This window comes from Homo sapiens, chromosome 1 (genome assembly GCF_000001405.40).
Source record: "Homo sapiens chromosome 1, GRCh38.p14 Primary Assembly".
NCBI lineage: Eukaryota > Metazoa > Chordata > Mammalia > Primates > Hominidae > Homo > Homo sapiens.
The window spans coordinates 60,091,890-60,109,364 of NC_000001.11; the positions used below are offsets into that span (position 1 = coordinate 60,091,890).

At 35.9% G+C, this 17,475-nt stretch overlaps 1 pseudogene; it reads left to right on the forward strand.

Moving 5' to 3' along the window:
* PGBD4P8 (piggyBac transposable element derived 4 pseudogene 8) lies at positions 5,521-6,306 on the forward strand (annotated as a pseudogene).

Sequence of the window (17,475 nt, forward strand, 5' to 3'; positions counted from 1 at the left end):
AGGGCTGCCAATTTCATGTACGGTACATGTGACTGCATGGGAAAAATGTGACCAGGCTTAGTCAGTTACACAAATTCTCTTATTCTAGTCCTATTAATTGACTTGAGGGTTAGGGATAGGATGAAGTCTGGCCAATGAGAATCTGTGGGATTTATAGATGCAGAAGTGGAGACAAAGACTTGCTGTCTCCTATAGTGTTGCTAGCTAAGATTAGGTAAACCTCAAGGAGACTGTTTACAAAAGAAAGGATAAAGCCAAAGGCAAGAGATGGAGAGCACTCAGATTGCATCCTTTAAGCCCTAGCAACTTGTGAGGAGAGATCTGTTTCATCCTTCCTAGTTACTGGAGTCAGTAAATACGGTTTTTAAAGCTAATTTGAGTTAAGTTTTTGGCACTTGCAGCCAAAAAGTGTCTGATTAATAAAATACATAACAAAGTACATTTATATATGTTATCTTCCTCGGTTCTCACAACAGTCTTATGCCCAATATTCTTATGAATAGCTCTTTCTAATAGAAATAAAATAAAGAACTAGCCAGTCTTGGGACACATTTGATATTCATACTCAGTGCCTGTGCCTCCAGAGATCTTGCATTTTACACAATACCTTGCTAGATATGGAAATACAGCCAGACCTAAAAGCTCATGTGGATGAGCTTTGATCTTACTGCCAAACCGAGGTAGATAATCACTTGGAATAATTTCTTATTTATTTTGTATCATCCAAAAAAGAGTATTCTTGCTATATAGTTTTCTGATTATTAAGGCACATACATGTAAAAGTTCCAAACTTATTTTAATATTATCTTGATTTAAATCTAAAATATATTTTCCACTTTCATGCCTTCTTGAAAACATAACTCTAATCATGATTGTATTTTTATTTTGATGACCCAGCTCATAATTTCCTGTTATAACAGATAACACATTTACTGTGTTGCTAATTTAATTGGTTATCTTTCCATTAGATTATAAAGTACATGAAAGTAGGCAGCATGCTGTCATCATCATCATAATAATGACAATAATAATAACATTAATAATAGTCCCTTTTGAATTCCTAGTTCTTAGACCAGTATGTGGTAACTGATAGATATTAACTAAAGGTTTGATTAATAAATGCATGTATAAGTGGACCTGAGTAATTATAAACAAACCTCAATAATTATAATGTAATTCAATTACTAAGGTGTTAGAGGCTATGGAATTATGAAAGATTGGCCATTTAGCCTCAGGGTGCTAAGCTTTTTGTGTTTTAGTCTGCTTTTTAGAGTTGCTCATATTCCTCTCTCTTTTTTCAGATTCCAGATGTTCATACCAGTTTGCAATATGCAATGTGGGCCTGATTTAGGCAGTGAGTGGAAAGGGAAGACAGGTCTCAGTATCCAACAGATTCTGGTTCTGCCCCTTAATATCTGTATGACCTTGAACACACCCCTTAACATCTCTCTACATCACTGTCTTCCTCTGAAACATGAGAACCAATAAGCTACCCCATAGACATGTGATGAGGATTCATTGAGATAGGCCATAAAAATCACCCAGTAGGTGAGCAACAAACATGTTTTTAATAAGAATTTTCAGAAGGGCAGGAAACTGAATACCTGAAAAGAGGTATGTGAAATCTTGAATACTGGCTTCATGAAAGATGTGCATGGGGGGGATAAAGATGTCACACAGAGGGGTCTTCAGTGTGATCTTGGATACTACAGGTGTCAGAATAGGGAGATCTTTCTCAATGGTGGAAAGAAACTTTTAAGGTTTGCTTTGAAAGCAAAGGGACATTTTTCTTTAGTTACTAGCACTGAGCACATAGACAAATATGATTTTAGAGCCCCATTGTCTTCACCTGCAAGTTCAAACCCTGAAAACATTTCTCCTAGTGACCCATTTCCAGACTGCTGTGTAGGAAACTACGTTGTTGTATTATGTTTTACTGCTTTTCCTTTATCAAGTGACAACTTCACTGTTCATCAGAGATAAAGGAAGATAAATATTAAGAAACAAATTTGAGAAGTGGGAGAGCCTTAGGTCTTGTTATTTATTTAGCCTTGCATATGTCTACATAGATAACAACTGACAATTGTGTTAGCAGTAGAGGATGGAAGTTAAAAATATGGTCTGGAAGTCTAACTGAAGAAAAACCCAGAGCCTGATACTTAGGAGTTATTGGACTGCTGAAATTTTATATTTTGTGTGCAAGTACAGGTTATGTCAGTGAATCTGATAGCTAGCATAGCAGAGACTGCTCAAGGTGTATACATCCTTGGCTGTATTGGCAGTTTCTGGTTCTATTTCCCTCTTTTATTTCCTTTCGACCTGTCTTTCAGTCCTCCTTGTATATTTCTTTTTCTCTTTCCTTCTTTACCAAACATATTTTGAGAATCAATCACATCCCTACACTTGAGCAATCAAAACTTGTTTACAGTACTGTCACATATATTCATTTTGTTTCTACATAGTTTTCATTTTGCCAAACATATTAGTATACACTTATTTTGTTTTATTTTAATACATGTTATTACATATAATATATACACAGAAACATGTACACATCACAAGTGAAGAATAATTTTCAAAAAGTACAATGCACCTATGTAACTAGCAGCAGGACCAAGAACGAAGAGCATTTCCTGTATACTCCTTGTGCTGCATCCTAGTCAAAGGTCACTGCTCTTCTGAGTTCCAACAGCTTGAATTGGTTTTGCCTGTTTTTGAAATTGAATAAGTGGAATTGCCTATTGTATACTTTTAGGTAAGGTTTATTTTACTCAGTTATGTTTGTAAGATTACTCGGGTTGTTGCATGTGGTATAGTTTGTTCTTTATTGTTGCTGTATTCAATTTTTTATCCATTCTCCTGTTAAAAAGCATTTGGGTTATTTCCAGTTTTTTTGGGATCTATAAATTATTGTGTTTGTTTTTCGATATACAGATAAAACAGAAACACATTTCTGTTGGCTGTATGCTTAGGAGCTGAATTGCTGGGTCATAGAGTACCTGTTTTGTTGGCTTTGTTAGATACTGCCTATGGGTTTTTCAGAGTAGTTCAAATAACTTACTCTCTCCCCAGCAGGTAGAAGGTAGCTCCACATACTCAACAAAGTTTGGTAAGGTCAGAAATTTTATACCTAGTCTATTGGATGTGTAATGTACTGTTTTTGTTATTTTAATTTGCATTTTTAAATGTTTAATGAAGTTGAGTACCTTTTCATATGCTTATTGGCTATTTGGACATCTTTTGTGAAATGCCTATTTTGATTGTGCCTCTTTCTTCTTGATTTGTAGTTTATTATTATTATTTTTTAATCTGGATATGGATTCTTTGCTATATATATGTCAAATATATTCTCCTACTCTGTAACTTGACTTTTTCTTTTTTAAATTAATTATTTATTTTATTTTTTCCTTACCCATAGCCCCCTGATTTGACTTTCCACTCTTTAAATACTCTTTTGGTATATAAGAGTTACTAATTTTTATATAATTTATAATTTCTGTTATTGATTTTGTATTGTTTAATAAATCTGTGTTTCTTACCCTAAGATCATAAAAGTATATTCTTTTGTTTTCTTCTAGAAGCTTTAATGTTCTACATTTTCATATTTAGATCTGTATTTCACTGATAATTAGTTTTTGTTGCTTCTTGTTCAGAAACAATTGAGATTTACATTTTTCAATAATAATTTCCAATTGAGTCAGTAGCATTTATTGCAAAGATCATTATTTTTAAACTACACTTCAGAGAAATAACTGTCAAAATCAATTGACCATATATTATATTTTTGAACTCGCTCTTCTGTTCTAATTATGTATCTATCAACACACCAATACTTCAATGTCTTAATTAATGTAGACATACACAAGTTTTGAAAACTCATGGGTAAATCTCCCAGTATTGTCTTTTTTCACAATTGTCTTTGCTATTCTTAACCTTTTGCATTTCAACACAAATTTTAGAATCAGATGGTCTTTTTTTCACAAAACAAATTAATAATTTTTGCTGGGGATGTTGAGTGAGATAGCATGAAATCAATAGATCAATTTTGAGGGAAATTAACATTTTTATAGTATGAGTTGTTAAATCCATGAACATGGTATATCCCTCCATTTATTTTGATTTTCTTTAATTTGTCTCAGTAACATTTCACAGTTGTGACTGTGAAAGTCTTGCCTCTTTCATTAATTTTTTTCCTAGGTATTTTGTGTCTTTGATGTTATTGTAAATGATAGTATTTTCTAAAATTTTACTTTCCATTTACTACTGTTACATGAAAACTATTATGTAATTAATTAATATCAATCTCACTTGTTTCACTTGCTAGTTCTATTTGTATATTCTTTTAGATTGCCTATTGCATACAATCACGATACATGTAAGGGCATTTTAATTTCCTCTATAGCAATTCTTACTTCTAATTTTTTTCTTGCATTATTGTACCAGCCAAGTCAACAAGTACAATATTAAATACAAATGGTAATATCAGGTATCCTTGTTTCATTCACAATTTTAGGGAGAAAGTTTTCAGTATTTCACTCTTAAGTATGATATTTGATATAAGTATTTAAAAAATATTATTTGTCCCATTAAGAAAGTTCACCCTATTCCAAGTTTGCTAGGAGTTTTTAGAATAGAATGTTGAATTTTATCAAATGCTTTCCTCTGTTGAGATTACCATATGATTTTATTTTTTATTTCATTAATGTGCTGACTTAAATTGATTGAACTAAAAAAAACCCTACTTGGCTTTGTTGTATTATCATTTTTGCATAACATTGGATTGGGCTTGTTAATATTTTATTTATGATTTTTATATGATCTTGAGAGAGATTGCTCTGACAATAATACCTTTGCCAAGTTGTTGTATCAGGGTTATTCTGGCCTTATAAAGTTAACTCACCTTTTCTGTGTCTAGAAAAATTTGTAGAAGATTGATAATATTTAATTCTTAAATATGTGGAAGAACTAACCAGTGAAGCTATCTGAGCCTAGAGATTAATGGAATGCTTTAAATTAGAGATTTAACTTTTTTTTAATAAATATAGATTATTTTCTACTTATTCTTTTGTCAAAAGAGTGTAGGAGTTTTTAGAAAATAAATTTGGCAATTTTATTTAAACTTTAACATTTATTGCCATAAAGTTATTCATAATATCCTCTCATTATCTATCTTTTCAAAAAGTATGCTTTTTAAAAAAGGGTAAAAAATGTATGTTGTAATATACTCTTTTTTATAACTAGTTATCCTCTTTCTCTCTCTCTTTGATCAGTCTTGCTAGATGTTTATTCATTTTTAATCTAATCATTTTTGCTTTATTTTCTCTATTGTATTTTTTCATTTCGTTATTTTCTGCTCTTTTTTTTAAATCTCCTTCCTTTTACTTCTTGAATTAATTACTTATATCACTGAGTTTCGGCCTTTTAAAATTTCTTTTCTAATATGTGCATTTAACCCATTTTCCATTTGCCCCAAGAATACTCACTAGTGGCACTTGCGGTTGCAGCATTTACCCTGAGATAAAATGGTGTGACAAGAAGGAGGTGACAATGTTGTCAACATTCCACAATATACTGTGATTGAAGTAGACAACAGAAATGGAAAGAAAACTAAGAAGCCATATGTCACTGTGGATTATAACGAGAATATGGGAGCAGTGGACTTGGCTGATCAGATGCTCACTTCTTATCCAATGGAGCACAAAAGGCACAAGGTTTGATATAAGAAATTCTTTCACCACCTTCTAAACATTGCAGTGCTGAACTCCTACATCAAGAAGGACAATCCTGAACACACGATGAGCCATGCAAACTTCAGAATGACCTTGATGGAAAGAATGCTGGAAAAGCATCACAAGCCAAGGCAACAACGTCTCTGAGGTCCTCTGTGTTCTGCTGGTGTCACATCTCTTCGCCTGTCTGGAAGACATTTCCCCAACAGCATGCCACCAACATCAGAGAAACCGAATGCAGCTGGTGGCTGCAAAGTTTGCTGCTGGCACAACGACGAGAATGCCAGATCACCTTTTGTGCAGAATGTGATGTTCTGCTTTGTGGTGTTGTGTGCTTTGAAATTTACCACATGAAAAAAAAGTTATTAAATAGTGATCATCATATACATTTCTGTTACATGAGGATTAGTGAACAGTTCTGTTTAGAAATAATTCTAAGAACAGTTTTTATATTTTATTTTCACATTGAAAATCAGTCAGACTTCCTTCACTCTCAAAGAGCATATTTACATAAAAAGAAATGAGCACTGGCAGCAAGCTGCCCTTTTTTTTTTTTTTCTGAATGGGAAGGATACACATTTTCATCTAAGCCTAATTTAGCAGCATCCTGCAAATTTTGTATATTATGTTTTATTATAATTCAATACAAAATATTTTCTAATTTCATTTGTGACTTATTCTTTGACACAATGGCCATTTAGAAATATTTTGCATCATTTCTAGTTTTAGGGGTTTTCTATTTAGTCTTTTTGTTATTGATTTCTAGGTATAAAACAGTGACATCAGAGGAGATATTCTGTATGACTCTAATTGTTTGGAAGTTGTTGAGATGTGTTTATGGTCTAACATATTGCCAAGTTTGATAAATGTTCTATGTACACTTAAAAAGAAGGTGTATTCTGTCATTGCTTTCACTTGCAGTGAACTAATTTGTCAATTAGTTCCAATGTGTTATTTGTGTTATTCAAATCTTAATCTTTTCTTACTGATATTTTTGTCAGGCAATACGTCAATTATTAAGAGAGTTCTGTTAATATTTCTATGATTGTAGATTTATTTCTCCTTTTACTTGTGTCAATTTATATTTCATACATTGTGAAGCTATGCAGTTGAGTTCATTTTAGTAAGCGCAAATTATTTCCTTATTTCATGAAATAGACTTTTAAATTTTTATCAATGTGTTTGCCTTAAAGCCTACATTGTCTGACTTTGGCATGACTACATAAATTTTTTTTTAATGTTTGCATCATATATTTTTAAAAATTGTGGCAGTAGCTACTTAGCACTTACTCTTCTAGAGTGCCAAAGCATTCTACTGAGTGCTTATGAAGGCACCTTGTACAGTTTTCTTTTAATTGACTTGTGGAGCAGGCAGGAAGTGTGGGGAAGTTAGTAGTTCTCCAGGTGCAGTCTTCCACCACTGAGGTATGGAAGTTTCGAGATAAATACCCCAGCTTCCTAATGTCTCAGCTGAGATAACTGTGTTATACATTTTATATCACCTCTCAGTTGTCTATCGCAGAATTCAATTACAGTAGCCTGAAGAATTAAACTGTTCATTAGTGCATCCTGTATTCCTTCCTTTCTCTGTCTGATTTTTCCAGTCCCCTGCATATGATCCTGGCATAACCTAATATTTAACTATAATATTTGCACTCAAATTCTTGTGTCAGAGTCTGCGTCTCTGGAATTCCAGCATAAGAAGCCATCCTTTTACTCATCATCTGTCTATGTCTTTACATTTAAAGAGTGTTTCTTACAAGGAGCACGTTGTTACATTTTGTTTCATCGAATTTAACAATCTTTGTTTTTAATTGAAATGTTTAGTCCAATTATATTTAATGCATTTACTAGTATATTTGTTTGTTCCACTTTCTCTATCATGTTTATTATTTTACTATTTTGACTCAATTAACTGATTAGTTATTCATTATTTTATCAGGCTTTTAGTGGATATCCTAGAAATTACAACAAAAATTCTTAACTAATTATGGTCTAATATAAATTAGTATTTTACTAGTTTCTGGACATTGCTAAGATTTAGAACATTTATATCATGTTTGCTGTCTTTCTGATGTTTTTGGTGTGAAGCAATATAACATATACATTTTAGATTTCACATAACATTATTACTGTCTTGTAAAGATAATATTTATTTAGGTTTATCTACTTATATAACTTTTTTCATCACCCTTAATTCTTTCCTACATTTTCATTTCATTGTTCGAGATGATTTTCCTGCTGTCTGAAGAACTACTTTTAGCATTTCTTACAGGGGTTTTACTGACAAAAAATTTTCTAAGGGTTTGTTTCTTTGCTTGTATTTTTGCTTTGCTTTTTTCTTCTTTATGTAAGTAATATTGAGGATTAAGTTACATTCAGGAGCACAAATTTTAAGTGTTCAACTTGAATTTTTACACGTGTGTTACTGAAGTCAAGGTTTCAAACATACATAGCACTCCAGTAAGCCCCCTCATACTTCCCACAGAAGTAGCTACTATTCTGTATTCTCCTACCATAAGTTAGTTTTGTCTGTTCTTGAACTTCATATAAGTGGAGTCATGTAATACGTACTTTTGTTTCTGGCTAGGACTGTGATATCCATCTATATTTTATAAATAGTGGTAGTTTATTTTTCTTTCTTGCAGTGAGGTATCTCACCATACAAATATAAAACAATTTACTTATTTATTCTGTTATTGATAGACACTGGTTGGTTTTCAATTTTGGCTATTAAAAAGAAACTTGTGATAACTATTCTTGTACATATTTTTTGGTAGGAAATAAATAGTTATTTCTGTGGGTACCAAGGATAGCTTTCATCTTAAGTGGATTTTTTTACTGATTTTACATTTGGGGATTGATAGCTATTTCCCTTCAGTACCTTAACAATAACATCTCTATAGTCCTAAAGCTTCTACAGTTTCTGAAAAACCAGCCATCAGACTTACTGATTCTTTGAAAGTAAACGTGTTTTTTCTTCTTGCTGATTTCAAAATGTTTTTGGTTTCAGATTTTAGTAGTTTTGCTATGATATGCCTAGGTGTGGTTTTCTTTGTATAAATACTGGTTTAATCTGAGGCTTAATGTCTTTTATAAATTTTTGGCAATTTTCAGCTGTAACTTTCAAATATTGCCTTTGACTCTCTCTCTCTGCTCCCTTTATATGACTCTAATTATATATACATATATAGAGAGAACTATATATAATTTATATTACAATATGAATTAGACCTTTTAATTATCTCTCATATATCTCTCATATTTTCTGAATTTTCCAGCTACTTTGCTCTTCTTTCTTTGGCTTGAATTAGTTTCTGTTGACCTAATTCCTGGTTAACTGTTGAGTCCATATTGAATTCTTAATTTATATTATTATATTTCTTAGCCATAGAATTTAATTTTTTTTATAGGTCCCTGTTCTCTGATTGCATTCTCTATCTTGTCATCTATTTGTCTGAAACATATTACTCACAGTTATTTTCAAGTTTATGTCTGATAACTCCCCAAACTAGGTCATCTCTGGTTCTTTTCTATTATTTTTATTTTTCTCTGAGTCTTGCCTGTTGATTTGTCTGGCATGTTTAATTGAATGCCAGACACTGTGTATGGGAATTTATAGAATCTCTGAGTGATGTCATTTTCCTCCAGAGTGAGTTCCCCATATCCCCAAGACTGTAAATAGAGGACAGATCACTTTAATACAGTCTAGGACTGGGGGATGACTAGAAGCTAGGTCGTGACTTCAGAAAGCTACCATTTGCCTCTGGTTCATCCCATATCTATAGTGTAGCCTCCCAGGACATTATTTATTTGATTTTTACATCATATCAGATAGGATTTCTTTGTTGCAAGTAAAAAAAAAAGTAGCTTAAACACAGTAAGTTTATCATAGAGAGATAGGGTGGTTCTTGGGCTATTAACTCATAGACTCAGCCTGTCATTGAGCAACTGATCTACGCTGACTTCTCTGAAGTTATCTTGGCTTTATTTTCATGACTCTTACTTGGCTGCTGTAGTTTCAGGTGTCCCATGTGGCTGACTATATCCTGAGGAAGGAAAGTGAAGTTTATCTTCAGGGGGCTCTATGTGAGAGTGAATAATCCATTTGTTAGATACTTCCTTCCCCCAAAGCCTTGCTTTCATATGCCTCTTTGTCCAGAAGTTTGTCACATACCAATGCCTAGACCAGATTCTGTCAGAGGAAGTGGAATGACCATGTTTGGCTTAGACCGATCATGATTTTCCACTTAGGCTTGGGGAGGATTCATTTCTCTGAACACATAGCTAGGGCACATATGAATATGAATACCTAGGCAAAATTGGGGCTTGATGAACTAAGAAAGAGGGAATAATAGGTATCTGTCACAAAGTGAAATAGCTGTTTTTCACATACAGCCATCCTATGTAAGACATATTGCCATCTATCTAGTTTTAATTAGGAGGATTCCATGAGTAAGAGAGTTTAAAAACCCATCACAAGGTTAAGTATATAGTGGCAAAATCTGTATTCAAACAAATATTTTCTAATTCCAAATTTGGGGCTCTTAATTATGCCCTACAGTCTTCTGACTGGGATGTATGTTGTATTTTTTATAACTATTCCTACAAGATGTTCACATATACAAATTGAAGTAGACAACACAGTTTTTTTCTGGCTTTGTCAGACCTCAACAGATGCATTACAAATAGTTAATCAGGGTAAGAATGTTGTGTGGAGAATGTTACTTACCTATAGATTTAGGATTGCCTAAGACCTTAATTTATATGTATGCATGGCCATTCCTCAATAAGTAATGGACAAAAGCCACCTAAGTCCTAGGCATTATAAGGTGTTGCTATGAAGCTGAAACCACAAGGGACCTATTAGATTTTTCACTTCCATTAGCAAATATGATTTGTGTCCACTCCCCATTGCCATTCATAATTCTGAGTTCCACTCTACTTAAAATTTTCCATCTCAGCTTCAGCTGAATGGTTTTAGCAAGAATCTGTTTCTTTGAGGAGTACCCTTAGAGTGATGGATTAGCAGCCCCAACAGCGTTTACTAAGTTGGGAGCACATTAGCCATTTCCATTTCTCTCCTCCAGAATGGAGGTGGAGAGCTCTGCCATTAGAAGTGGAGAGCAGGCAGCTCTATGACAAAGCAGCTGCAACCACCACAAGTGCCGCCCTTGAGAGGAGCTCATGCCATGAGGTCAGAGGAACAGCATTTTATGTTCCTTTGTAGAATAAACAGAATATTTTTATGAGAAACAAATCTTCCATCTATGATCCGGTTCCCATTAGTGGGTCAAGGCAAGAGCAAACCAGAGAGACTTAATTTACTTAGGAGACATTCAGTATAAATACTATATTCCCTTGTGTGGTGTTCTTGTTCTGTTAGCCTTAACACATGCAAACAAAGATGACTTACTCAAAGTTTTGATATGCCCAAAGACCATTCTTCTTATAACTGGTGTTCCTTTTAGGCTGGGTGTCAAGAAGATCCAGAAAGTCTGCATTAACACAGCATGTATTTTCACTCCATTAAACTACTATACAATCTGTAATTGCTAACCCCACAAGTTTTAAAGTTTACCTTAACATTTGTAGGAAGCAGATGGTTTCCATACACTGCCAACCTGTTGTTACCAAAGCATTTTCCAAGAATTGTTTTCCAACCACAGTCACTAGCATAATTAACCTTTCTATGGATTGAATAAACAAGAAACTGGTCACGAATCTGTAAGAAAGACAAATGTACCATTCAAGACTTAGCCTCAGAACAAGCTCCAGGACACACATGAAAAACCACACACAGTGTGATGCATAATCCACTTCTGGTATTTTTTTTTCCAGTGACCTCTATTCTTTCCCTGTTTCTTCCCCCATTTCATAGCGTACCCTCCCTTTCTAGCCATGTGGTCACATTTACCTATTTTTATCTGCAGCCATGGATTTGGCTAGGTCCTAAGTTTTTTTTTTTTTTTTTCTGTCTGTGGATTTCCTCTTCCTTCACCACAATGTTCCTGGCCTTTCAACTCTCTTCTTTGCCTTGTTTTCTGATATTAATGTCTTACCAATTTATCTTTCTCTCTCTCATTTACATTCCATTGTTTCTTCTTTTTTTTTTAACATTTTTTTGTTGTTGTTGGAAACAATTACAGATTCATAGGAAGTCACACACACACAAAAATATAGAGAGGACTCACGCTTGCCTTTCATCTAGTTTATTTCCCAATGGTTACATCTTGCATAAGTATACTACTGCTATATAGAAACCAGGTAGTTGGCATTGGTACAATCCACAAAACTTTTCAGGTTTTATCAGTTTACTGTACTCATTTGTGGTGTGTGTGTGTGTGTGTGTGTGTGTGTGTCTTCTCCTGAGTTTCAAAGGGGCAAAATTTTTAGTCTTCTGCTTGACTTTAGAATGGCTCAGAGTCAGATTCAATAAACATTCATTAAGAGTATGTATGAGACAGTCTCATATAATTAACATGAGCTTGTTGAGTGGATCTGCACATTAACTCTTTCAAGAGGAGATTATATTATTCATAATACCTGTGATGAATTAAAAACCTTCAGAGAAGTGATATTCCCAAGGTCATCTAAATAATGGTCAGAATTTAAGTCTAGGGCCCACCATGCTGCTCACCTATTCCTGCAGCCTCGGTACAGATCGTAACTTCTGTTTTCATGTGCTTTATTGCTACACTTTGAATGTTTGTCCTTTCCAAAACTCATGTTGAAATTTAATTGCCATCGTAACAGTATTAAGAGGTGGGACCTTTAAGAGGTGATTAGGCCATAAGAGCTCCATTCTCATAGGCAGTGTTGATAACATTATAAAAGGGCAAATTTGGTGTCATCTTACCCTGTCTTTGCTCTTCTGCCTTCTATCATGTGATGCCACAGCAAGAAGGCCCTCCCCTTATGCTACTGTCTTAATCTTGGACTTCCCAGCCTCTGGAACTGTGAGCTGATAAATGTCTGCTAATTATAAATTACCCAGTCTCAGGTATTCTGCTAGAGCCTCACAAAATGGACTAACATATCCATTCACAGCCTGAAGTAGACTGTGCTCTTGTAGGGGCCCCCTACATTTTAGCCTCCCTGATTGCTGATTCATAGCTTAGACTTATCTCTGACCAGTGTGCTCTTTGCTTCTCTGATGCTGATATCCAATGAGGGTCAAGATGTCTAATGGCCCATGGTGGTATTTTAAGTGTGGCTTAAATATTGGGAGCAACAAAGGAGGCTCTTCCACACAGGTAGTTTGTTGATCTCCCAGCATCTTGAGGTAGGTAGCATTGATATTACCACACCAATTCCATAGATGAAGTAATTGAGACTGAATTGATAAAAATCAGAATGTTATCCAGAAATGGAGCCTAGAATAAAACTCAGGTCTTTTGATTTCTGGTCAACGTTCTTCATAGTGTTTCATATTATAGTGTGGTAGGATATTTTTCTCTCCATAATCATAAGTATGATTTACTGAGCATCTTCTGTGTATCATGAACTATACTAGGCTTTTTACATGCATTGCCTCAGTTTATTCTCATGGCAGTTCTATAGGGTTATTGTTATTATTATCCCTATTTTACATATGAGGATGCACGCTCAGAGAGCATAAGTGACTTAGTGTAAGTCTCAGAGTTAGCAATCAACAAAACCAGAATTAGAATCTGAGGCTGTCTGACTCCCAATCTGAACTTGTATTATTTTCTATTTTTTGAGACAGAATCTGGCTCTGTCAACCAGGCTAGAGTGCAGTGGTGCGATCTTGGCTCATGGCAGCCTCTACTCCCAGGCTCAAGGAATCCTCCCACCTCAGCCTCCCAAGTAGCTTGGACTACAGGCAAGTGACACCATGCCCAGCTAATTTGTTTTTAATTTTTTGTTGAGATAGGGTTTCACCATGTTGGCCAGGCTGGTCTCATACTCCTGGACTCAAGCAATCCATCCACCTTGGCCTCCCAAAGAGCTGAGATTACAGACATGAACCACCATGCCCGGCCACTTCTTGCTTTAAAGGAAACAAATAATTGTGTAATTTTCTTCCCGACAAAAAGCAAAACAGAAAAGCTCAAATTGTGTGATATAGGGGAGATATTTCAAACTGTGCATTAAAATTTGCATTATTTATCAATATTTAAAAATTGGGGGATTTCATATAAAAAAACTGGATTTTTATCTTTTTATGATAAGTCAACACAACTGGCCACAGAGTCTTGGTCTGCCCTTGAGTCTATGCTTCCTGGTTTGCCACAGTTCCCTGCCAGCCTCTTCCCTCATGTCTCTACATCCTACAGGCATGTGGGTTGTTGCTGACTCTTCATATAATGGATCAAAGGAATGGAATTTGGAGTAGAAGTCCTGGATTTAAATCACAGTTCCAGCATTTCCTGTGAGCCTATGATTCTTAAAACATAATCACAGTTTCCTTAACATTTCTTCCCATCTAATGATAGGCAACTTTTTTTCTCCCAACAATATAAAATCAAGAAAAACATAATAGAGTTTTTGATTTCTCCCCTTGAATTTGTGTGAGCTTTTGACTTCTCTGATTAATAAAATATGGGAGAATTATTACATGACTCTCAAGGTTAGATCACAAATGCCATGCTGCAGTACTATCTTTGGGAACTAAGCAGTATACTACCCAGTTCATTGGAACACTATCTTCTGGAACTAACTAGGAACCACTGTTCTTAAGAGGCCATGTGGTGATACTCTGGTCTAAAGTTCCAGCTGAGTCTAGCCTTCCAGACATCCCAGCCAAGGCACTAGACATATGAGTGAGGCCATCCTTGGTGCTCTAAACCAGACCATCTGCCAGGTGAATACCACTGAGAGAGCACAATGCTACTTGGAGAAAAGTCACACAGCTGAGCCCTGCTCAAATACTTAACTGCAAAATCATGAGATATAATAAGATAGTTTTTGTTTGAAGCTACTAAGTTTTGAGATAGTTTTTTTCAGCAATAAATTAGACAAAATCCTTAAAACTCTGTGCACCAGTATGAGAATGTATAAAATAGAATGAAGAATAGTAGCTGTCTTGCCCCCTTCATATAGTTAAAAGTGGGAGGAGTAAATAAAAGAATGAATTTAACAACATATTGTATACTACGAAGTGCTATCTAGATAATGTTATTATGGTAATTGTAAAAGCCCCATAACTTTGTGACAATCTTTAAGCCTTCTTTCAAAGGGGATACAAAACTATTACTCAAAAAGGAAGAGTGAACAGGTTATAGATTTTAATTAGTCGTGTGTCTTGGTAATACACTCCTGTAGCAGCACGGCCTCATGCTCTTCTATCACCATGGCCTTTTCAGTATGAGGTGTCCCCACGAAATGGCGGCCCTTTTATGTCGGCAGAAATGGAGGACATACAGACAGGACTCAAATGAAACTTTGTGACTTCCAGCTATGTTGGAACATTAAAATAACCAGAATGAGGGTTGGATGGAAAATCAGCCAACCTGTTGATTTTACTGATCAGTGAGTTAGTGTCAGGAAGAGAAATCAGGTCACTCTGTAGGACTAAGTATAGAGAAAATTGGGCAGAGAGCTTTTAACCAATTGGTTGATTAAAAGTCCAGAGATGGCTGGGCATGATGGCTCATGCTTGTAATCCCAGCACTTTGGGAGGCCAAGGTGGGTGGATTACTTGAGGTTAGGAGTTCAGGACCAGCCTGGCCAACATGGTAAAATCCTGTCTCTACTAAAAATACAAAAATTAGCTGGGTGTTGTGGTGGGTGCCTGTAATCCCAGCTACTCAGGAGGCTGAGGCAGGAGAATTTCTTGAGCACAGGAGGCAGAGGTTGCAGTGAGCCGAGGTCACGCCACTGCACTCCAGCCTGGGCGAGACAGTGAGACCCCATCTCAAAAAGAAAAAGTCTAGAGACAATTTTATTTTTATTCAGCAATTTTTCTTTTTCTTGAAACAGAGTCTTGCTTGTTGTCCAAGCTGGAGTGCAGTGGTGGAATCATAGCTCACTGCAGCCTTGACCTCCCAGGCGTAAGCAATCCTCCTGCCTTAGCCTCCCAAGTAGCTGGGACTATAGTCACGTGCCACCACACCCAGCTAACTTTTTTAATTTTTTGTAGAAACAGGGTCTTTCCATGTTTCCCAGGCTGGTCTGGAACTCCTGGGCTCAAGCCATCCTCCTGCCCCAGCCTCCCAAAGTGCTGGGGTTACAGACGTGAGTCACCATGCTGGACCCAGCAAATTTCCTTAGAGCACTTTTGGTTGTGACAGGTGGCTGTAAATGGTGGTAAGTTTTGGTTCAGGCCTTCCTCTGCTTCTTTCTACCTCTGGTGGCAGTTGCACATAAGCTGTTATTTTGCCTGGGGTGCTCCCTTAATTCGGTTACTGAGTTATCTCCTACTCCTAATTTCTGCTCACACATCACCTCCACACCATTACCTGAGCCCACAAATTAGTTGAAGTTTCTCTGTCATAGCTTGTGTGGGTCCCTGTGTATTTACATAACTATATTTATCACAGTGGTATTCATATTTAGTAAGGAGGTGTATCCTCACACTACATTCAGATATACAAGAAAATGTAGTCACTACATTTTCAGTAATGAATCTGATCCTTCCACGGAGTGGCCATTCTGCTGGCTTAGCAGGGAAACTCCACTTTAATCTGTCTCATCACAGTAAGTCAGTAGCTGCCAGTGTGGAGTCTCGTGCATTACACAGCCACTACTGGTTTAAAGGCCCAATCATTCCAAATGCCTCCTTCACTTCACACTCACAACAGTGTCCAGGTAGTTTCACGGGCAGGGTTGAGTGACTTTATGACTTTGGAGGGAATGTGGTCTCTGCATGGGAGCTCATTCTTGGCTGTGGGCCAGTTAGTTTCTGTATACTGTGTAGTGCACATTGCATACTCTGAAATATACTGTATAAACAATTTAGTTTTTTTTTTTTCAAACAGAAGAGTGGTTAAGAGCATTTACTTTGGAGTCAAGTTGATTTAAATTCCAATCTGTACTCTGCTCCTTATTAATAGTATTCTTTAACTAAATGTTTCACTACCCTAAGCTTCAGTTTGTTTATTTTATTTTATTTTACTTTATTTTATTTTATTTTATTTTATTTTATTTTATTTTATTTTATTTTTTTGAGAAGGAGTCACACTCTGTCACCCAAGCTGGAGTGCAGTGGCACGATCTTGGCTCACTGCAAGCACCACCTCCCGAGTTCACGCCATTCTCCTGCCTCAGCCTCCCAAGTAGCTGGGACTACAGGCGCCCGCCACCACGCCCAGCTAATTTTTTTGTATTTTTAGTAGAGACAGGGTTTCACCGTGTTAGCCAGGATGGTCTCGATCTCCTGACCTCGTGATCTGCCCGCCTCAGCCTCCCAAAGTGCTGGGATTACAGGCATAAGCCACCCCGCCCAGCCTGTTTATCTTTATAATGGATATATTAATAGCTATCACTGGATTTAATTAAATAATTAGCACAGTACCAAACACATAATTAGTTCTCTTTCCTTTGCTTCTTTTTAGCTCCTTGTAATTGTCAGGTTTCTTTTTTGTAGAAAGTGTCTTCATTGCATATCCTGGAGCCATGTTCCTAATCTCCAGTCTCTCCCCTTTTCCCAGAAAAATTTAGCAGTCCTCGGTTCCGTATACTCAGGGTTCCCTGATAAAATGTATGGTGGGGACTGGGGAGAAGGGCATGCTCATTCTCTCAGAAGCAGCATATTGCAGTGGAATGAGCACAAGTTTCCAAA